The 22487-nt window shown below is 42.5% G+C and overlaps 1 protein-coding gene across 7 annotated transcripts in view, besides 2 other annotated features; it reads left to right on the plus strand.

The window, feature by feature from the left end:
• Window positions 1-22260, plus strand: part of ZBTB43 (zinc finger and BTB domain containing 43) — a 34139-nt gene extending 11879 nt beyond the window's left edge. For 5 of the 7 annotated variants that reach the window (XM_011518409.1, XM_047423032.1, XM_005251835.4 and 2 more), the window contains one exon: window positions 16537-22260. In XM_011518409.1, the coding sequence (XP_011516711.1) occupies window positions 16560-17963 (1404 nt within the window). In that variant the 5' untranslated portion in view covers window positions 16537-16559 and the 3' untranslated portion in view covers window positions 17964-22260. Of the gene's footprint in view, window positions 1-3355; window positions 6879-7529; window positions 7592-16536 lie in introns of those variants that run through there. The other 2 variants (XM_047423031.1, XM_011518411.3) reach the window with 2 other exon arrangements.
• Window positions 16756-17257: an enhancer, noted in NCBI's record as "H3K4me1 hESC enhancer chr9:129594985-129595486 (GRCh37/hg19 assembly coordinates)". NCBI's record gives its function as "activates a minimal SCP1, AML or CMV promoter by ChIP-STARR-seq in primed H9 embryonic stem cells {active_cell/tissue: H9 hESC(primed)}" and the evidence as "EXISTENCE:reporter gene assay evidence [ECO:0000049][PMID:30033119]".
• Window positions 17258-17757: an enhancer, noted in NCBI's record as "H3K4me1 hESC enhancer chr9:129595487-129595986 (GRCh37/hg19 assembly coordinates)". NCBI's record gives its function as "activates a minimal SCP1, AML or CMV promoter by ChIP-STARR-seq in primed H9 embryonic stem cells {active_cell/tissue: H9 hESC(primed)}" and the evidence as "EXISTENCE:reporter gene assay evidence [ECO:0000049][PMID:30033119]".
• Window positions 22261-22487: the final 227 nt, after the last annotated feature.

Raw genomic sequence — 22487 nt, forward strand, 5'->3', positions numbered from 1 at the left:
TAATTAAGTTAGAAACAGTTTGATCCTTCTGAGGCTTGTTTTTAAGCTTTGTTTGGCAGGACCAGAACTGCATTTTGTCTGGAATTAATTTGTCCCCACTACTGAGGTAAGGCTTTTCTGAATACTCAAGGTTTTCCATTCAGGGCAGTTTTCTTCAATTAAATTTATTTTTTATTATTTCACGTTCTCTGGTTCTTTCTCTCAAGGACATTAACGGGCTGTACATCGATCTCTCTTCTCTGTTCTCCTGCTTTATCATCTTCTCTCTCGCTGTTTTCACTTTCTTGTATTTTAGTAGAAGGTCCCCAAAGTGCCTTCCACATTATCGATTCCATTTTTTTACTGTTGTAATTCTGCTTCTTATTGCCTGTGTAAATTTCTGCTCTATATTAGTTTCCTGATACCCTATCATTAATTCAGTCTGCCCTTTTTTCATATCATTCTACTGTTTTGTCTCATCTTCCTTATACTTTATTCAGAGACTGTGTTTTCATGAAGTTTGTGAAAAACATTTTAAAAATTGTTTAAAATGTACTCTTTGTCTATTTCTTGCTATTTTTTCTTTTTGATATTCTGGAATATATCCACAGACCTGTGTTGGTTTTATTTTGTTTAATTCTTGAGAGGGAAACATTCTGTTCAGGTCTGAAATTTGCTTTTGGGTCCCTTGTTGTATACCCGAATATTGTTAGAATCAGCTCTTAGTTCTTAAGCTAGATGCAGGGCTGAACCACATTGACATCTGGGATTAGTTGAGTGGGGCTGGAGGGGTAGGCCTTAGGCCCTCTCAGGGGAGCTTGAGCTCTGTGTACTTTCTTTGCAGTTGGTGAAATTGGGATACTAGGACCCTCTGTTGTCTTTGGCCCAACTGGCAAATGATGGCTATGCCTTTACCTCCTTCCTGGGGCTACGGAGTCCCACCCCCTTATGTTAATATTTTTTCCTTCTGCCAAGGTAATGTGCAACCTTTGGTATCCTAATACCACCCACCTCTGAGTTTTGCCAGTCTGCAGGACCTGTCTGTCCTTGGCTTTTAGCTCTGGGACTCCCAAGTGAAAGAGTGTTACTGATCCCGTCAGAATTGCCTGGAATAGGACGTGGAGTTTCAGGCCAGTGTTTCCCTTCAACTTGGCCCCATTTCCACTGTATCTTTTTTTTTTTTTTTTTTTTTTTTTTTTGAGACAGAGTCTTTCTCTGTCACCCAGGCTGGAGTGCAGTGGTGGCAGTCACAGCTCACTGCAGCCTCGACCTCCCCTGTTCAAGAGATTTCCCCTCTTCAGCCTTCTGAGTAGCTAGGATGTCAGGTGCATGCCACCATGCCTGGCTAATTTTTGTATATTTGTAGAGATGGGGTCTTGCTATGTTGCCCAGGCTGGTCTTGAACTCCTGGGCTCAAGTGATCTGCCCACCTCAGCCTCCCAAAGTGCTGGGATTACAGGCATGAGCCACCATGCCCGGCTGGACTGTGACATTTCTTGATTGTCTTTGAAGTCCCCCATAATACATTGAATATAATGTTCCATGAAGTTTTTTTTTTTTTTTTGAGACGGAGTCTCGCTCTGTCACCCAGGCTGGAGTGCAGTGGCGTGATTGCGGCTCCCTGCAAGCTCCGCCTCCCAGGTTCACACCATTCTCCTGCCTCAGCCTCCCGAGCAGCTGGGACTACAGGTGCCTGCCACCACGCCCGGCTAATTATTTTATATTTTTAGTAGAGATGGGGTTTCACTGTGTTAGTCAGGATGGTCTCGATCTCCTGATCTCGTGATCCACCCACCTCGGCCTCCCAAAGTGCTGGGATTGCAGGCGTGAGCCACTGCGCCTGGCCCCATGAGGTTTTTTAGTGAGCTAATTAATTACTTCTATGACATCATCTAAATAACTGAAACAACAGCTATACTCTCAGTATAGGTCACAATTGCCTATGAGTTTGTAATAGAAAAACCTGTAGAAATTTAGCATGTTGCAGGTCAGAGAATATGGAGAAATGCCATATTCACCCAAAGTTAAGGGCAAGGATTTTTGATAGGGCTTGGTTTGAATCTGTGTATTGCTTTGGGTAGTATTGTTATCTTAACAATATTATGTCTTCCAATCCATAAACAACATGGTATTCTATTTATTTGTGCCTTTAATTTATTTCAGCAGTGTTTTGTAGTTTTTTTCTTTTTCTTTTTTTTTTTTTTTCCTTTTTGGACAGAATCTCCCTCTGTCACCCAGGCTGGACTACACTGGTGGGATCACAGCTCACTTTAGCCTAAAACTCTTGGGCTCAAATGATCCTCTTGCCTCAGTCTCCCAAGTAGCTGGGACTACAGCTGTGCACCACTATTCCTGGCTAATTAAAAAATATATATATATATATATTTAGAAACAAGGTCTTGCTGTGTCGTCCAGGCTGGACTCAAACTTCTGGCCTCAAGTGATCCTCCCAAGTAGCTGGGATTGCAGATGAGAGCCACCACACATGGCCGTTGTGTAGAGACAGGGTTTTACCATACTGCCCAGACTGGTCTCAAACTTCTGAGCCCAAGCAATTCGCCCACCTCGGCCTCCCAAAGTGCTAGGGTTACAGGCATGAGCCACCACGCCTAGCTTCTTGAGTGTTTTTGTCATGAAAGGGTGCTGAATTTTGTCAGATGCTTTTTCTGTGTCAGTTGAGATGATACGTGTTTTATGTGTTTTTTTCCCCTTCATTCTGTTAATGTGCTGTGTTACATTGATTGATTTCATATGTTGAACTATCCTTGCATTCCAGGAAGAGATCCCACTTGCTGGTGGTGTATAATTCTTTTAATATGCCGCTTAATTTGGTTTGGTAGTATTTTGTTGATATTTACTCCAGTGTTCATAAGGGGTATTGGTCTATAGTTTTTGTATAGTGTTTTTGTCTGGCTTTCATATCAGAGGGCACTCCTGACCTAATAGAATGAGTTAGGAAGTGGTCCCTCCCCTTCAGTGTTTTAGAAAAGTTTGAGAAGGATTGGTGTCAGTTCTTCTTTAAATGTTTGTTAGAATTTACCAGTGAAGCCATCAGGTTAGGATCTTTTCTTTATTGAGTCAATGTCCTTGATAGTTATAGGTCTTTAAGGGTATTGTTTAATTTCCACATATTTATTAGTTTTTCAGTTTTCTCTCTTATTGATTGCTACATTCATTTCATTGTGGTTAGAAAAATACTTTGTATTTTTAAAAAGACTCAGTCTTGTTAAGTGTATTAAGACTCGTTTATGGTCTAACACATGATCTATCCTGGAGAATGTACTGTGTGCACTTGGTGGCTGACATGTCCTATACAGGCATACCTCATTTTGTGCTTCACGGATATTGCATTTTTTTTTTTTTTTTTTTTTTTTTACAAATAGTCTGTGGCAACCCTGCATTAAGGAAGTCTATCAGCATCATTTTTCCTGTTGCACATGTTTACTTTCTGTTTCTGTGTCATATTTTGGCAGTTCTTGCAATATTTCAAAACTTTTCATTATTATTATATCTGTTATGGTGATCTTTGATCAGTAATTTTTTGATGTTACTATTGTAATTGTTTTGAGGCACCACAAACCACACCCATAAGGGACAGCAAACTTAGTCAATAAATGTGTGTTCTGACTACTCCACTGACCCACCATTCCCCCATCTTTCCCCCTCTGTTCAGGCCTCCCTATTACGTGATACACAACCACTTGAATTTAGGCCAATTAATAAACCTACAATGGCCTGGTGTTTAAGTGAAAGGAGGAGTCATATGCTTCTTACTTGAAATCAAAAGCTAGAAATGACTAAGCTTAGTGAGGAAGGCATATCAAAAGCAAACATAAGCCAAAAGTTAGACTTCTTGCTCTAAACAGCCAAATTGTGAATGCAAAGGAAAAGTTATTGAAGGAAATTGAAAGTGCTACTCTAATGAACACATGAATGATAAGAAAGTGGCAGCCTTAGTGCTGAGAGAAAGTTTTAGTGGTCTGAATGGAAGGTCATACCAACCACAACATTCCTTTAAGCCAAAGCCGTCAGAAGAAGACCCTAACTCTCTTCATTTCTCTGAACACTGTGAGAGAGGTGAGGAAACTGCAGAAGAAAAGTTTGAAGCTAGCAGAGGTTGGTTTGTGAGGTTGAAGGAAAGAAGTGTCTCCGTAATGTAAAAGTGCAAGCTGAAGCAGCAAGTGCTAATGTAGAAACTATAGCAAGCTATCTAGAAAATCTAGCTAAGATAATTGGTAAAGATGGCTGCACTAAACCACAGATTTTCAATATAGATGAAAAAGCCTTCTATTGGAAGGAGATGCTATCTATGACTTCCATAGCTAGAGAGGAGAAGACAATACCTGGCTTCAAAAGACAAGTTATAACTCTCTCATTAGGGGCTAATGCAGCTGGTAACTTTAAGTTGAGGCCACTGCTCAGGTACCATTCCCAAAATCCTAGGGCCCTTAAGAATTATGCTAAGTATACTCTGCCTGTGCTCCATAGATGGCACAGTGAAAGCTTGGAGACAGCATTTACAGAATGCTTTACTGAATATTTTAAGCCCACTGTTGAGACCTACTGCTCAGAAAAAGATTTTTTACAAAGCATTACTGCTCATTGAGAAGGCACTTGGTCACCCAAGAGCTCTGATGGAGATGTACAAGGACATTAGTATTGTTTTCATGCCTGTTAATACAACATCCATTCTGCAGCCCATGGACCAAGGAGTAATTTCAATTTTCAAGTGTTATTATTTAAGAAATACATTTTGAGCCAGGTGCAGCAGCTCACACCTGTAATCCTAGCACTTCGGGAGGCCAAGGCAGGCAGATTGCTTAAGCCTAGGGGTCCAAGACCAACCTGAGCAGCATACAAAACCCTATCTATACTGAAAATGCAAAAAATTAGTGAAGCGTGGTGTCATGCACTTGTAGTCCCACCTACCCAGGATGCAGAGGTGGGAGGATCACGTGAGCCAGAGAGTCGAGGCTGCAGTGAGCCACAATCGCACCACTGCACTCCAGCCTGGGTGACAAAGTGAGACCCCCATCTCAAAAAAAAAAAAAAAAAAAAGGATATTTTGTAAGGCTATAGCTACTGTAGCTGCTATTGATAGTGATTCCTCTGACACTCTGATGGATATCTGGGCAAAGTAAATTGAAAATGTTTTGGTGGCAGTGTGGTAGCTCACACCTGTAACTCCCAGCACTTTGGGAGGCCAAGGTGGGTGAATCGCTTGAGGTCAGGAGTTTGAAACCAGCCTAGCCAACATGGTAAAACCCTGTCTCTACTAAAAATATATATAAAAATTAGTGTGGTGGCATGGTGTCACATGCCTGTAATCCCAGCTACTTAGGAGGCTGAGGCAGGAGAATTGCTTGAAGGCAGGAGGCAGAGGTTGCAGTGAGCTGGGATCGCACCACTGCACTCCAGCCTGGGCAACAGAGCAAGACTCTGTCTTTAAAAAAAAAGAAAAAAAGAAACACAAAAAAAATGTTTTGGAAAGGATTCACTATTCTAGATGCCGTTAAGAACATTCGTGATTGGTGGGAGGAAATCAAAATATCAGCCTTAACAGAAGTTGATTCCAACCCTCATGGATGACTTTGAGGGGCTCAAGACTTAAGTGGAGGAATTAATTGGAGATGTAGTGGAAATAAATAGCAAGAGAAATAGAATTAGAAGTGGAGCCTGAAGATGGGACTGAATTATTGCAAAGGCATGGTAAAACTTGAGTGGATGAGAAGTTGCTTCTTAGGGATGAGCAAAGAAAATGGTTTCTTGAAATGGACTCTACTCCTGGTGAAGATGGTGTGAACATTATTGACAACAAAGGATTTAGAGTAAGCTTTTCTAACCTGTGGCCCCCAGGACGGCTTTTCTAACCTGTGGCCCAGGATGGCTCTGAATGTGACCCAACACAAATTCATAACCTTTCCTAAAACATGAGATTTTTTTTCTTTTTTTGAGACAGAGTTTCTCTTGTCTCCCAGGCTGGAGTGCAATGGCACGATCTTGGCTCACTGCAACCTCCGTCTCCTGGGTTCAAGCAGTTCTCCTGCCTCAGCCTCCCAAGCGATTACAGTCGCCCACCACCACACCCAGCTAATTTTTGTATTTTTAGTAGAGACAGGGTTTCACCATGTTGGCCAGGCTGGTCTCGAACTCCTGACCTCAGGTGCTCGCCCGCCTGGGCCTCCCAAAATGCTGGGATTACAGGCATGAGCCACCATGCTCGGCCGAGATTTTTTTTTTTTTTTTTTTTTTTAAAGCTCATCTGCTATGGTTAGTGTTAGTGTGTTTTATGTGCAGTCCAATTCTTCCACTGTGGCTCAGAGAAGCCAAAAAATTGGACACCCCTGATTTAGAATATAAACTTTATTGATAAAGCATCAGCAGGATTTAAAAAGATTGACTCAAATGTTGTGAAAGAAGTTCTGTGGGCAAAATGTTATCAAACAGCATTGCATGCTACAGAGAAATCTTTTGTGAAAGAATCAATTGATGTGGCAAACTTCACTGTTGTCCTATTTTAAGAAATTGGCAGGCCAGGCACGGTGGCTCATGCTTATAGTTCCAGCACTTTGGCAGGCTGAGGCAGGCGGATTGCTTGAGCCCAGGAGCTCAAGACCATCCTGGGCAACATGGTGAGACCCTGTCTACAAAAAATACAAAAATTAGCTGAACATGGTGATGCATGCCTGTAGTCCAGCTCCTTGGGAGGCTGAGGCAGGAGAATTGCTTGAGCCCAGGAGGTCAAGGCTGCAGTGAGCCGTGATCACATCACTGCATTTCATCCTGGGCAGCAGAGCGAGACCCTATCTTGGGAAACAAAAAAGAAAGAAAGAAATTGCTACAGCCACCCTACCGTTCAGCAGTCACCACCCTGATCAGTCAGCAGCCATCCACTCAAGGTAAGACCCTCTACCAGCAAAGGGATTACAACTGGCTGAAGGCTCAGATGATTGTTAGCATTTTTCAGCAATAAAGTATTTTTAAATTAAGGTGAGTACTTTTTTTTTTTTAGACATAATGCTATTGCACACTTAATAGACTACAGTATGGTGTAAGCATTACTTTTATATGCACTGGGATACCAAAATTTATGTGGCTCACTTTATTATGGTGTTTATTTTATTGCGGTGTTCTTGAACTGAACCAACAATATCTCTGAGGTATGCCTGTATATGTCTTTATAGCAGGCTTAACTGGTTTATAATGTTGTTCAAGTCTTCTATTTCCTTATAGATCTTCTGTCTGCTTTTTTCTATCAATTCTTGAAAGTGGGGTATTGGAGTCTCCACCTATTATTATAGAACTGTCTATTCCTTCCTTCAATTTTATCCACTTTTACTTCATATATTTTAGAGTTATCTTGTTAGGTGTGTATATGTTTATAATTGTTATATTTTCTTGATAGATTGAACCTTTTTACTCAACATATAATTCTTTGTCTCTTGTAACCTTTTTTGACTTAAAATCGATCATTTCTAATAATATAGCCATCTCAGGCCATTTTTTGTTGTGCTTACCTGGAATATCTTTTTTCATCCTTTTCCTTTCAGCCTCTTTGTGTCGTTATATCTAAAGTGAGTCTCATGCTCACCTCGGCAGCACATACACTAAAGTGAGTCTCTTGTAGACTGCATGTAGATGAGTCGTTTTTTAATCCAGTTACTGACAAGGAAAGATTCACTTTACAATTTAGCTATTTGTTTTCTGTATGTCTTACATGTTTTTTATTCCTCAATTCTTCCATTATTGCCCCCATCCTACTTTTTATTATTTAGGGGTTTTGGGTTTGTTTGGCAGTAAACCATTTTGATTCTCTTCTTTTTGTGTATGTTTTTAGTTATTTCCTTAGTAGTTACTTTGGGGTTTGCAATTAACATTTTAAACTTTTAACAACTTACCTTGAATAGTACCAACTTAGGTTTAGTACAGTCACAGCAAAGTTATCTCCTGTCCCTTCACCTTCATGTTGTCATTGTCACTGATTATATCTTTATATATTGTGTAATGTGTATTAACATAAATTTATAATTGTTTTATGCATTCATTAGCCTTTTAAATCATATAGAAACAAAAGAATTAAAAACCAAAAGTACAACAATGATGGCTTTTTTTTTTGAGACAGAGTCTCACTCTGTTGCCCAGGCTGGAGTGCAGTGGCGCAATCTCCGCTCACTGCAACCTCAACCTCCTGGGTTCGAGCGATTCTACTGCCTCAGCCTCCCAAGTAACTGGGATTACAGGTGCGCACCACCACGCCTGGCTAATTTTTGGTTTTTTGGTAGAAATGGGGTTTCACTTTGTTGACCAGGCTGATCACAACTTCTGACTCAAATGATCCACCTGCCTTGGCCTTCCAAAGTGCTGGGATTATAGGCATGAGCCACTGAGCCCAACCAGTGGTGACTTAATATTTACATAAGTAGTTAACCTTTACCAGCGGTCTTTGCTTTTTTATGTGGCTTTTCATTGTCTAGGGTTCTTTTATCTCAGCCTGAAGGACCCCTTTAGCATTTCTTGTAGAGCAAGTCTACAGGTAGTGAACATCCTTAGCTTTTGTTTCTCTGGGAATGTCTTAGTTTCTCCTTCATTCTTGAAAGGATACTTTTGCCAGATCTTAATTGACAGATTTCTTTTTTTAAGCGCTTTAAATAGATTGTCCTACTGCCTATGGCCTCCATATGGTTTCTGCTTATGGTTTCTGATGAAAAATTAGCTGTTAATTTTAGTGAGGATCTCTTTTACGTGACTAGGAGCTTCTCTCTTGCAGCTTTCAAGATTCTCTTTGGCTTTGGCTCTTTCTACAGTTTGACTATAATGTGTCTTTATCCTGCCTAGAGTTTGTTGAGCTTCTTGAATGTGTAGATTCAAATCTTTTATCAGTTTTTAGAAGTGTTTGACCATTATATATTTCTTCAAATTGTTTTTCAGCCCTTTTCTGTGCCTCTACTTCTGGAACTCCCATGATATGTATGATGGTGTCCCACAGGCACCTCAGGTTGTATTCATTTTTCTTTTGTGGTGGTGGTTGTTTTTGAGACAGGGTCTCACTCTGTCACCTAGGCTGGAGTATAGTGATGTGAATATGGCTCACTGCAGCCTCAACCTCCTGTACTCAAGTGATCCTCCCACCTCAGCCTCTTGTATAGCTGGGACTATAGATGCATGCCACCATGCCTGGCTATTGTATTTTTGGTAGAGACAGGTTCTCACTATGTTGCCCAGGCTGGTCTCGAACTCCTGGGCTCAAGTGATCCTCCCACCTCAGCCTCCCAGAGTGCTGGGATTACAGGCATGAGCAACTGTGCCCAGCCCATTTTTCTTCATTCTTCTTTCTTTCTGCTACTCAACTGGATTTTATTTACCTTATCTTTGAGTTTGTTGATTTTTTTTTTCCTTCTGCCTGCTCAAGCATGCCATTGAACCCCCTCTTATGAACAAGTAATTTCAGCTTGTATTAGTTTGGCAGAGCTACCGTAACAAAATACTACAGGCTGGGTGGCTTAAACAATGGAAATGTATTTTCTCACAGTTCTGGAAGTGGGCAGTCTGTGATCAAGATGTTAGCAGGTTTGGGTTCTTCTGTGGCCTTCTTCCTCAGCTTGCAGACAGCCTCCTTCTCACTGGGCCCATACAGAGTCTTTTCTTCGTGGTTGTGCATCCCTAGTGTCTCTGTGTGTGTCCAAATCTCACCTTATAGGGACACCCATCATACTGTGTTAGGGCACATCTAAATGGACTCATTTAGGTTAATTACCTCCTAAAGGCTCTACTTGTAAATATAGCCAGACTCTGAGGTACAGGGCATTACAGCTTCAATGTGTGAACTGAGGGGCAGCAGGGGAAATGCAGTTCAGCCCGTAATGCATCGTTGCACTTTTCAGCTCCAGCTTTTTCCATTTGGTTCCTTTTTATATTTTTTTTTTTTTTTTTTTTTGAGATGGCGCATCACTCTGTCGCCCAGGCTGAAGTGCAGTGGTGCCATCTCAGCTCACTGCAACCTCCTGCCTCCCGGGCTCAAGCGATTCTCATGCCTCAGCCTCCTGGGTAGCTGGGACTACAGGCTCATGACACCATGCCCAGCCAATTTTTTTTTTTTTTTTTGAGATGAAGTTTCGCTCTTGTTGCCCAGGCTGGAGTGCAGTGGACTGATCTTGGCTCACTGCAACCTCCACCTCCCGGGTTCAAGCAATTCTCTTGCCTCAGCCTCCCGAGTAGCTGGTATTACAGGCGCCCACCACCACGCCCAGCTTATTTTTGTATTTTTAGTAGAGATGGGGTTTCACCATGTTGAAGACTGGTTTGGAACTCCTGACCTCAGGTGATCCACCCATCTCGGCCTCCCAAAGTGCTGGGATTACAGGCATGAGCCACCATGCCCAGCCCATTTTTATATTTTTTGTAGAGATGGGGTTTCACTATGTTGGCCAGGCTGGTCTCGAACTCCTGACCTCAAGTGATCCACCCACCTTGACCTTCCAAAGTGCTGAGATTACAGGCGTGCGCCACCACTCCTGGCCCCCCCGCCTTTTTTTTTTTTTTTTTTTTTTTTTTTGAGACAGAATCTCGTATTGTTTCCCAGGCTGGAGTGCAGTGGCACATTCTCAGCTCACTGCAAGCTCCACCTCCCGGGTTCACGCCATTCTCCCACATCAGCCTCCCGAGTAGCTGGGACTACAGGCGCCCGCCACCACGCCTGGCTAATTTTTTGTATTTTTTAGTAGAAATGGGGTTTCACCGTGTTAGCCAGGAGGGTCTCGATCTCCTGACCTCGTGATCCTCACGCCTCAGCTTCCCAAAGTGCTGGGATTACAGGCGTGAGCCACCACGCCCGACCTCCTGGCCCCTTTTTATAGTTTCTGTCTCCTTATTGACATCGTTGTCCTGATTTTCTTTACTTTATTCATTATTTTCTTTTGTTCTTTGAGCATATTTAAAACAGTGGATTTAACCTCTGTGACTTGTGATTCTAGTGTTGGTGTTCTGCAGGGACAGTTTCTAATTCTTTTTCCTGTGAATGTACTGTATATTCCTTTTTCTTTGTGTGCTTTTACTTTCTTGTTGAGAACTGGACATTTGGAGTATGATACTGTGGTAACTCTGGAAATCAGATTCTACGCCTCCTCTGGGATTGCTTTTGTGACTTGTGAGGTTAGTTATCTGTTTGTACAATGACTTTTCCTATTTTGTAAAGTCTGTATTCCTTGTTCCATGTAGTTGCTTAAGTTTTTTTCTCTCTTATCCGTGCAAACCAGCCTGTGACCAGGTAGATTTCCTTAAATGTCTGGATCTGTGTGTGTGCGTGTACAGATGTAGGTGTAGGTGTTTTAAATCTTGTGGTAGGTGCCACCAGGGAAACCACTGCAGCCTGAGGGGGCCAAAACAAAGCTGAGCGGGTTTGCCAGACTGGCCAAAACGCACAAGCGCACATTTTTGGAGGACAAGGTCCTTCCTCCACCCCCTCCTCTTGTATGAGCCAGCTGCTGTGGGAACACAGGCCACCTTCCTGCAGGCTGTGTGTGGCAGGGCTGCGGAATGGGGATTTATGCACACTGATCTCTTCTGAGCTTCAGCAGCCTCCCTCCATCCAGCACTCTCTTGGTTGCTGTGAGTGTCTGATCCGCTTCCAGAGGCCTGAAATCGTGATTTTGATCATTTTTTCAGCTTCCTGATTGTATTGGTGGAGGAACCAACCCATGGAGCTTCTGACTCCACCATTTTCCATAACCTCCCTTGTGGCATTTATTTTTTTAGAACTGATTTTAAATGTATTCTCGTCATTTAGAATTCCACAACAGAGGCCGGGCGAGGTGGCTCACGCCTGTAATCCCAGTACTTTGGGAGACTGAGGCGGGCGGATCACCTGAGGTCAGGAGTTGGAGATCAGCCTGACCAACATGGTGAAACCCCATCTACACTAAACAAAAAAATACAAAATTAGCCGGGCATGGTGGCACATGCCTGTAATCTCAGCTACTTGGGAGGCTGAGGCAGGAGAATCAATCGCTTGAACCCAGGAGGCAGAGGTTGTGGTGAGCTGAGATTGCACCATTGCACTCCAGCCTGGGCAACAAGAGTGAAACTCCGTCTCAAAAAAAAAAGAATTCCACAAAGATACTTGCACTTTATGAAGCAAGCATAGGTTATTTGACAAATAGTGTTAGAAAAACAGGCTAGCCATTTTGGAGGAAAAAAGGCTGGGTCCCAACCTTACTCTTCATGCCAAAATAAACACCCATGTATTAAAGGTTTTATTATTTATTTATTTTTTTTTTGAGATGGAGTCTTGCTCTGTCGCCCAGGCTGGAGTGCAGTGGCGCGATCTCGGCTCACTGCAAGCTCCACCTTCCGGGTTCACTCCATTCTCCTGCCTCAGCCTCCCAAGTAACTGGGACTACAGGCACCCACCACCGCGCCTGGCTAATTTTTTGTAGTTTTAGTAGAGATGGGGTTTCACCGTGTTAGCCAGGATGGTCTCGATCTCCTGACCTCGCAATCCACCCGCCTCGGCCTCCCAAAGTGCTGTGACTACAGGTGTGAGCCACCACTCCCAGCCTTCATTTTTATTTTCAAAAATAATTTTGGGCCAGGTGCAATGGCTTATACCTGTAGCCCCAGCACTCTGGGAGGCCGAGGCGGGAGGATTGCTTGAGCCCAGGAGTTTCAGACCAGCCTGGGCAACACAGTGAGACCCCCATCTCTAAATAATAATAATAATAATAATAATAATTATTATTATTATTATTATTATTTTGGAGGTGTGAATGCCCTCCTATATCTGACACAAACCCTGGAGCAAAGAGTAAAAGCAAAGAGTACTTATTTTATGTAAATTTCATCTTGGCAAAAAAATCTATAAAATCAGCTAACTGAAAAAATTATCACAACGTAGGATAAAGTTAACTTCCTGAATTTACAAAAAGCCCCACAGATCAATAAGATTAATTGCCCAATTTATTTGAATCAAGGATGTGACTGATTTTATAAGAGAAAACCACAAATGACCAGTAAACTAAGTACAGAGTGCCAGCCTCATTCATAATTAAGGAAATGCAGATCAGAACAGGAATGAATCATGTCACTTAGGAGATAGGCAGACTTTATTTTTCTTGTTAAATGATATCCAGTCTTGTAAGAGTGTGCTAAGTAGACACTGTCATTGATTGTTGGTGAGGGTGTGACTTGGTGCAGGCTTTCTGGCAAGTAGTTTGGTAATATGTATCAGAAAATTTTTTAAAAACATTAGCCAGGCATGGTGGCATGCCTATAGACCCAGCTGCTTGAGAGGCTGAGGCAGAAGGATTGCTTGATGACCCAAGAGTTCAAGGCTATGTCAAATGCACAGCCCCTTAACCCAGCAGTTCCACTGGTAGAAATTAAGCTATAAATATTTCCAAAGGTATGCAAGATAGTTATGCAAAAATATCTATTGTAGCATTGCTTGTGATTTTACAACCCCTGCCAACTGAAATTCTGTAAGAGGAGAACTGCTTACATTACGATACATCCATATAATAGAAAGCTATGTGGCCATTAAACAGAATGAGTTAGCTCTTTTTGTGCTAATGTGGGAAGATCTCCAAGATATATTAAGTGACAAAAGCTAAGTGTAGAATAAAATGTAGGTAATGAACCCAGTTGAGTAGGGATTTTTAAAGGATGTATATGATTTATTCTGATATATGCACAGGGAAGTTTCTAGAGATATAAACAGGAGTTTAATGGTGATTTCCTTTGGGGGAGACTAGGAATAAATGATGGGAGAGATTTTTTTTTTTTACACCTTTCTATAATTTTTTTTTACATGTGCATGTGTTATATCCCACACCCCCTTTTTCAAATAGCTAAAAGCAAAATTCTACAGTGGTGAGATCTAGCAGAGAATCTGTTCACCCAGATGTAGTTTCCAGAATTTACATACTTTTAGTCTACTCATTTATATAGTCAACTTTTCTTTTTGAAATTACGAATACCTAAATCATTTATTTCATGATCTATTTTTGTTTTAAATTACTATGAAATGTTTTAAGATGTATAAAACGATAAATTAATACTTCACTCTAAAAACACAGTCTTTTAAAATTATTAGTGCCTAATCTGGCATTTTTGGCATCTTAGAGGAGGCAGAGTGATGTGATAAGAAAAATCACATAGACTTTAGAGTCATCCAGACCTGGATTCACATCTCAACTTAATAAAAACTAGCTTTTAACCTTGGGAAAGTTACTTAAAATAGCTGAACTTCAGACGATCAAGCCCTACATTTGCAGAGTAATTATAAAGATTAAGTGGGAAAAAAGGTATCAGTCCCTAACATATCATAATTACTCAAGAAACCTTCATTTCTTCTCTTGTCATCTCTCCCTATCCCTCGAAGATGACTTTCAGTCTTTGTCTGGGTTGTCTGGCTCTTTTATATCATACTTAGAAAACTTGGGGCTGGGCGCAGTGGCTCACGCCTGTCATTCCAGCACTTTGGGAGGCCAGGCGGGCAGATCGCTTGAGTTCAGGAATTCGAGACCAGCCTGGACAACGTGGCGAAACCCTGTCTCTGCAAAAAATACAAAAATTAGCCGGATGTGGTAGTAGTGCATGCCTGAAGTCCCAGCTACTCAGGAGGCTGAGATGGGAGGATCACCTGAGCCCAGGAGTTTGAGACTGCAGTGAGCTGTGATCACACCACTGTACTCCAGCCTGGGTGACAAGAGTGAGACCCTGTCTCAAAAAAACAAAAGAAGACTTGGTAATTTAGCAATGTTTGGATGTAGTATCAGAGCAAGGTGACATATGCAGTAATAAATCGTTTGGGTGGTTTTTTTTTTTTTGCTTTAATTACAGAATTTGGGGGAATTACAGAGTATGGGCAGGATCTCTAGCACAGCTCATCTTGTGTGCCATTGTTAGGAATTGTTTCTAATGCTTGACTTACCCCACAGAATATATTTACAGTAGCAACACAGGCAATGCCTTAGTCTTCGTTATAACTTTGTCTTCTGATCGACTCTGTTCAGTAGCAGGGACTTACTATCCTCTTTGGTCTATAGACAGTTTGGAGATCACCAGATAAGAAGCATACCTCACCTTGCAGTTTCATTCAGTTTCATATTCTCAGAAGCTCTTAAAGGGCTAAAATTCTGGCAGCAGCTGGAGAAATCTGCATTGCTCAGGGCCTGAGTGACTGTGCCCCTTTAGTGCTGAAAGACCAGAGGTGCAATTGTCCCGTCCTCACTGCTCAAGCCCCCAGGCCCCTCACTCCCTGACTGTACTCTAGTCTAATGGTCTCCTTTCAGTTCCTTGCAATTGCCAAATGCATTCCTGCCTCGGAGCCTTTGCGTATGCTTTTCCTTGTTCCCACCATTCTGTTCTCCCACCCTCACCACAACCTGTCAAATATCAGTTAAATCTGAGGCTTAAAAGTTCTGTCATTTTGAGCTGGGCATAGTGGTATATACCCATAGACCCAGCTACACAAGAGGCTGAGGTGAGAGGATCACCTGAGCCCAGGAGTTTGAGACTACAGTAGCTATGATGGTGCCACTACACTCCAGCCTGGGTAAAAGAGTGAGACCTCATCTCTTTAAAAAAAAATTCTGCCAGGAGCGGTGGTTCATGCCTATAATCCCAACACTTTAGGAGGCTGAGGCTGGTGGATCACTTGAAGCCAGGAATTCAAGACGAACCTGGGCAAAAAGTGAGACCCCTGTCTCTACAAAAAAAATTAATTTTTTAAAAAAACTAGCTGGGCAGCTGGCGTGGTGGCTCACACCTGTAATCCCAGCACTTTGGGAGGCTGAGGTGGGTGGATCATGCGGTCAGGAGTTCGAGACCAGCCTGGCCAACATAGTGAAACCCCATCTCTACTAAAAATACAAAAAAAAAAAATTAACCAGGTGTAGTGGCGGGCGCCTATAATCCCAGCTACTTGGGAGGCCAAGGCAGGAGAATCGCTCGAAACCAGAAGGTGGAGGTGGCAGTGAGCCGAGATCACACCATTGCACTCCAGCCTGGGCAACAAGAGCAAAACTCTATCTCAAAAAAAAAAAAAAAAACTAGCTGGACATGGTGGCATGTACATACAGTCCCAGCTACTCAGGAGGCTGAAGCAGGATGATAGCTTGATTACCCAAGAGTTCAAGGCTGCAGTGAACTATGATTGTGCCACTGCACTCCAGCCTGGGCAACAGAGCAAGACCCCATCTCGTTTAAAAAAAAATTATATTATTTGAATGGGTATCTTGTTTGTTTTAACTGTAAATATTTACAGTACTTGGTTTTACTTGGGAGATTTGTATAGCTTACAAATCTTGTCCCTATGGATTCAGTTCTCTTACCCACAGACACAGAACCAAAATCAGGAGTTCCACAAGGAGTGGTGGTGAGTCCTGCCTTTGGCAAACACGCACCTGCAAGCTTTGCTCTAGGGATTGAATCCCTTACCCAGTGGGGCCCATAGGCTAGAGGACTTTGTGGAACTTTGGAACTTGTCTTAACAATGGAGGAGGGGATAAAATAAGTTTATCTTTGGGCTGGAATTTGTACTAATTTTTCTTTCTCTTGTAGCACCGAACAAGATTTGTGATGAAATGGAGCCTGGAACAAACTCTTTTCGGGTAGAATTTCCTGATTTTTCCAGCACCATTCTACAGAAACTGAACCAGCAGCGCCAGCAAGGACAATTATGTGACGTCTCCATTGTTGTCCAAGGCCACATTTTCCGGGCACACAAAGCCGTTCTTGCTGCCAGTTCACCCTACTTTTGTGACCAGGTACTCCTGAAAAACAGCAGGAGAATTGTTTTGCCTGATGTGATGAACCCAAGAGTGTTTGAGAACATTCTCCTATCTAGTTATACAGGACGTCTAGTAATGCCCGCTCCAGAAATTGTTAGTTACTTGACAGCGGCAAGCTTCCTCCAGATGTGGCATGTGGTAGACAAATGCACTGAAGTTTTAGAGGGAAACCCTACAGTCCTTTGTCAGAAGCTAAATCATGGCAGTGACCACCAGTCACCAAGCAGCAGTAGTTATAATGGCCTGGTAGAGAGCTTTGAGCTGGGCTCTGGGGGTCATACTGATTTTCCCAAAGCCCAAGAACTGAGAGATGGTGAAAATGAAGAGGAGAGCACCAAAGACGAGCTGTCATCCCAGCTCACCGAGCACGAATACCTGCCCAGCAACTCGTCCACAGAGCATGACCGCCTGAGCACGGAAATGGCAAGCCAGGATGGGGAGGAGGGCGCCAGCGACAGCGCCGAGTTCCACTACACCCGGCCCATGTACAGCAAGCCCAGCATCATGGCTCACAAACGCTGGATCCACGTGAAGCCCGAGCGCTTAGAACAGGCTTGCGAGGGCATGGATGTGCACGCGACCTACGACGAGCACCAGGTCACAGAGTCCATCAACACCGTGCAGACAGAGCACACGGTGCAGCCTTCGGGAGTGGAGGAGGACTTCCACATCGGGGAGAAGAAAGTGGAAGCTGAGTTTGATGAACAGGCTGATGAAAGCAATTATGATGAGCAGGTGGATTTCTATGGCTCTTCCATGGAAGAGTTTTCCGGAGAGAGGTCAGATGGGAATCTAATTGGGCACAGACAGGAGGCTGCCCTCGCAGCAGGTTACAGTGAGAATATTGAAATGGTAACAGGGATTAAAGAAGAAGCTTCCCACTTAGGATTCTCAGCCACTGACAAGCTGTATCCTTGTCAGTGTGGGAAAAGTTTCACTCACAAGAGTCAGAGAGATCGGCACATGAGCATGCACCTCGGTCTTCGGCCTTACGGCTGTGGGGTCTGCGGTAAGAAATTCAAAATGAAGCACCATCTCGTGGGCCACATGAAAATTCACACAGGCATAAAGCCGTATGAGTGTAATATCTGTGCAAAGAGGTTTATGTGGAGGGACAGTTTCCACCGGCATGTGACTTCTTGTACTAAGTCCTACGAAGCTGCAAAGGCTGAGCAGAATACAACTGAGGCTAACTAAAAATAGGATCTGGCCCTTGAGTGGCATGCACAAAAATAAACTATGGTAATTAATGCAAATCTGGGCACAGATGATGCGTGCTACTTGCTATTATGAGAGAAGCTTAAAAAAAAAAAGGAAGATATTTCTGAAAGACCAGCTCTAAGTAGGCCAATTAAAAAAATCTAATTCCTCAAATTTGTGTGTTCCAGTCCTGGCCTGGAATGGGTAATGGGGTGAGTTAACCCACCGCCCAGCTGGCAAGGGAAACCTTCTGACTGGTTGTGATCGAAACAGGTGGACAGAGACACCTGCACTTGGAACTGGACTCCACCCACCAGTTCCATTTTGGGTGGCAGCAGCTTTGGATCACTCATTATTACAAGGTCATGCTGAAATTTTATTTTGCTCTTGCTATAGATACTTAGGTAATGTGGATTTGTTTTGGTAGCTATTTCACTGAAGGAAGTGCTACTTATATAAAAGCTAGAAATAATGTGATTCCTAGGATGAGAAATTGGTTAACAGAGCTCTGTTGTCTGGTTTTAGTCTTTCTAAAGGATATTTTAACTAAAACTATGGAGATGCTAAGAGAGTGACTTTCTAAATATGAAACAGATAATTTACGGTACAAGGCTGACATAGTGCCCTTGTCAGTTTCTGTAAGATGCCACTACTGTCACAAGGTGTTTCAGACTCTTGATAAGGCAGTGTTTTGTATTTTAGTTCTAACATTGAGTTTGGACAATTTTATCTAATTGTAATTCTCTAGGGTGCCAGAGATAGGTATTTCTCATTGGTTTGCTTTCCCAAATCCTGTTTGGTTAATTGTAGCCTCCATACAGTGGGGTCTTCTCTGTGGCTGGTAGACACCAAGCTGCTGTGACTGACCACGGTACCACGGGCTGCCACAGCCCCTGCTCTGTCTTAGATTATGGTGCTTTACAAAGAGAGTGGTCCATGACCACACTTAGTGAGAAGGAGCCACAAGTTGTGGCTGAGAGTTCCCTGTGAACTTGAGTAGTTCATAGAGTGCTAAGGTGACACTCCACCAACCAGAGTGAGAGGGCAGATAGGCAGGATTCTATGAGTGGTTATACTTAAGGGGGACAAAACTGCCCAAGAAGAATCTTGAGAATACACTCTTTCAAGGTGGGGGAGATACTCTTTAGAGGGTACACTGAGCTAATACTACCAGTTCTTTATGAGCACTGGAATGTGTTTGTAAAAGGAGTCCTAAGTTTAGCAAGGTAGTCTACAGAACCATGCTCCCACATTATAGATAAAGCTGCTTAAACTTAAAAGTCCACAAAGCTACGCCGACCAGAAAAAAAAAATTAAAAAAACAAACAAGAAAAGCAACTATTCTGAGACCTTTTCTGCCCATCAGTTAGATGATTTAGGTTAAAAAGAAAGGTAATATTGCACATGCTTTTAAGCTGTGTAACATACCTGAGGTTATCACCAGGGTAGGACAGGGTGCTACTACCATGTCATCTTTTCCACAATCGTACTGGGTTATTTACTTCTAAATAGAAACTTTTTTTTCTTAAAATAAAAATAATTTTTCTTGGATTTGGGGTGAAATTTTATTTGAAAAGTTTGGCTTTGCTGTAATGTAATAGACATTGCTGGCAATGGCCTCTGATTCTCAAGCTCCTAACACCAGGGTGTTTACTTGTTGAACATTGTCTGGAAAGAGGAAAGAAAATACTTATTTACCAGTTAACTCTTGTAAGCAAGATTACAAACAGGGATTTATTCACAACACTGTATCATTCTCGATATATAAAAAGCACTTTGTATTTAAAACTTTATTATAAATATATATATATATTGTTTTTTTTTAAACCTAGAAACTAGATATTACCTCTTGGTTGTTTGCCACATTAATAGCTTCTCTTAGTATTGAAACGTTACTGGTTAGCAGTCTTTTCTCTGTGTACCTGACACACGTATACTGAGGGGATTGTACAATCAAGCCTATTGTCTCCTTTTCTTTCACTCATGGTAGAGGCCAGTGGGTTTTAGGTATGATCCTAGCCATTATATTTGAGGAGAAATTGTTCTATTACTCCTACTAATTTCAGTACTAAGGTGGTGATGCCATTTTGTTCTGCCAAAAACTGATCACCCTCTCCCATGGTATTAGCAGAGCATTTTCTGCCTGTTTGGAAGGTTTGATGTCCTGTTTCTCATTGAAGACTATTTACATGATCATTAGGACATTGCAGGAGAAGTCTGAGAGGTAAAAATACAGATATTCTGGGAGAGTCGTGGTCCTTCAGTTCTGCTGAAATCAGCATAGTGCCCTTGTCATGAGGAAGAGTTTCTGTTCAGCCAAGAGTGGTGGCACGCTTGGGTGGTAGTTTTGGAAGCAGTCAGTTGTGCTAGGACTTATTTAATATGTTGTGAAGAGAAGAGTGTCTTCTTGAAAGCCTTATGTGTCCATCAGCTACTAAATGTAGAACTTAAATAAGTTGCTCACATCTGTTCTTTTAGTGTTTTGTGGTATTTGAGGTTTTGGCAAAAATTGGGATTTTTTTATCAGGCAGCCAGAGCCTGGGAGGTGGTAGGGTGTCTGAAATGCTGGCCATGTTCAGAGAGGCAGGAGAAGGGGGTTGCTTTCATTTGAATATTAAAAGTGAATTTTTGTAAACTCTGGTTTTTACCTTTTTTTCATCCCCACGTTGAGTTGGAGGAATAGTCTCTTCTCTTCACCTCAATATAGCTTTAGAAAATCTTTATCCTTCCTAATAAGTTTGGATGGTTGTGGGTAACATTGTTCAAACAATCTTTCAGGGATCACGTCAATGGCCTACAACCAAGCTATTTGTCCCCTACTTTGAGTCTTAACTGTGGTTTTTCTTCAATCCCCATGGGAAAGGGCTTCAAGGCACCACCAGTGGTATTTAATATTCATACTTGGGGCCAGGCATGGTGGCTCACGCCTGTAATCCCAGCACTTTGGGAGGCCGAGATGGGTGGATCACCTGAGGTCAGGAGTTTGTGACCAGCCTGACCAACATAGTGAAACCCCATCTCTACTAAAAATACAAAAATTAGCCAGGCGTGGTGGCGCACACCTGTAATCCCAGCTACTCGGGAGGCGGAGGCAGGAGAATCACTTGAACCTGGGAGGCGGAGGTTGCAGTGAGCCGCGATTGCACCACCACACTCCAGCCTGCGCGACAGATCGAGACTCTGTCTCAAAAAAAAAAAAAAAATTCATACTTATGCCATGCTTTTACCTTTAGATACACACGTTACAGTAATCCACGTGGTGAAGTGCATGTCACCGTTAACTAAGGAAGGACTGCGGTAACTTACCCTGCAGGGCTGTAGGTTGCCTGCAGGCGCTCCAGGCCCCCAGCCTGTTGATTCCGATTTCTAGGTCTCATCTTCCTCTGGTCCCTTTTGGCCACTACTTTAAAAGCTTGCCCAAAGGGATCCCCTCCATTCTAGTGGGCATTTGCTGAACTAACCTGCCCCTAAGGCTGGCTTCTAACCACCGGGGAAAGCTGCTTAGCCTCCAGGGCTCCCTCCTTGAGAGGCTCACACACCCCCAAGCTGCTGTGGAGTGAATTTGAGACGGAGCAGAAGCTGCAAAGCTGTGCTTTCCCTGGGGAAGGGGATGTGCTGCGGCCTCCTGGGTGGGCGTGGAGAGGGCGCCATCACAACGAGTCCAGGTTTTTGCTTTTGGAAGGTCTCTGATAATTTAGGGGTGCTGGAAACCAGCACTGTGTTATCCCCAATCCCTCCTGTGCCACCAGTTTTGTGATTTAGGTTGCTTTAGTGGGTGACTAACTTTTGTTCAGTGAAACCAGGGTTTGTTTGGGGTTTTTTTCTTTGCTACTTACATATTTAAAGGTACAAGTTTCTTATTTCAAATCTCTACTGATAGTGCCCTATGGGGAGATGCTGGAACACATTTTGCAAATGTGACTTTTTTTTTTTTTTTTAATTTTTGCTTGAAGCCTGTGTCATGTTAGTTGCTGCTGCCTTCTTTCCTTTTGTGAGGTTCCCAATGTTTCGTCCAGAAAAGTACTTTATTTATGCAAGTCAGGTGACTCTTAGGCCACAAAACCATTTGATGATAAACAGATTATCATTAGGTGCATATCTTATTGATATTTTGTGAAATGTTATGCCTATGTTGCAAAAGTTGAATAGTTTTGTCTTTATATATTGCTGTCTTCAGTGTACAGCATGGTTTTACTTAATTGAATGTTAATGTTTAATATTTTCTTCTTATAGAAGAGATCATGCCCTTTTGTATGACATGTTTTAATAAATGTTATCTGTCAACTTTGTAAAAGTTTTGTTTTTCACTATGAGTAGATGACCACATCTTGTTTGACTCTGGGTTTTGCCACCTGAGAATACAGTTATATGGTGGCGTTTTGGTAAGTAAATGCCAAATAATCTGATCCAATGGGCAGTGAGTGACTGCCAGGCAGGCATTTATAGTAATATTTTAGACCCCCACTGGCCCCTTCGGGTACTTGGGGTGTGCTAGAGGCTCTCTGTGCCCCCTGGGCCCCC

The sequence above is a fragment of the Homo sapiens genome, chromosome 9 (assembly GCF_000001405.40).
Source record: "Homo sapiens chromosome 9, GRCh38.p14 Primary Assembly".
Taxonomy (NCBI): Eukaryota; Metazoa; Chordata; class Mammalia; order Primates; family Hominidae; genus Homo; species Homo sapiens.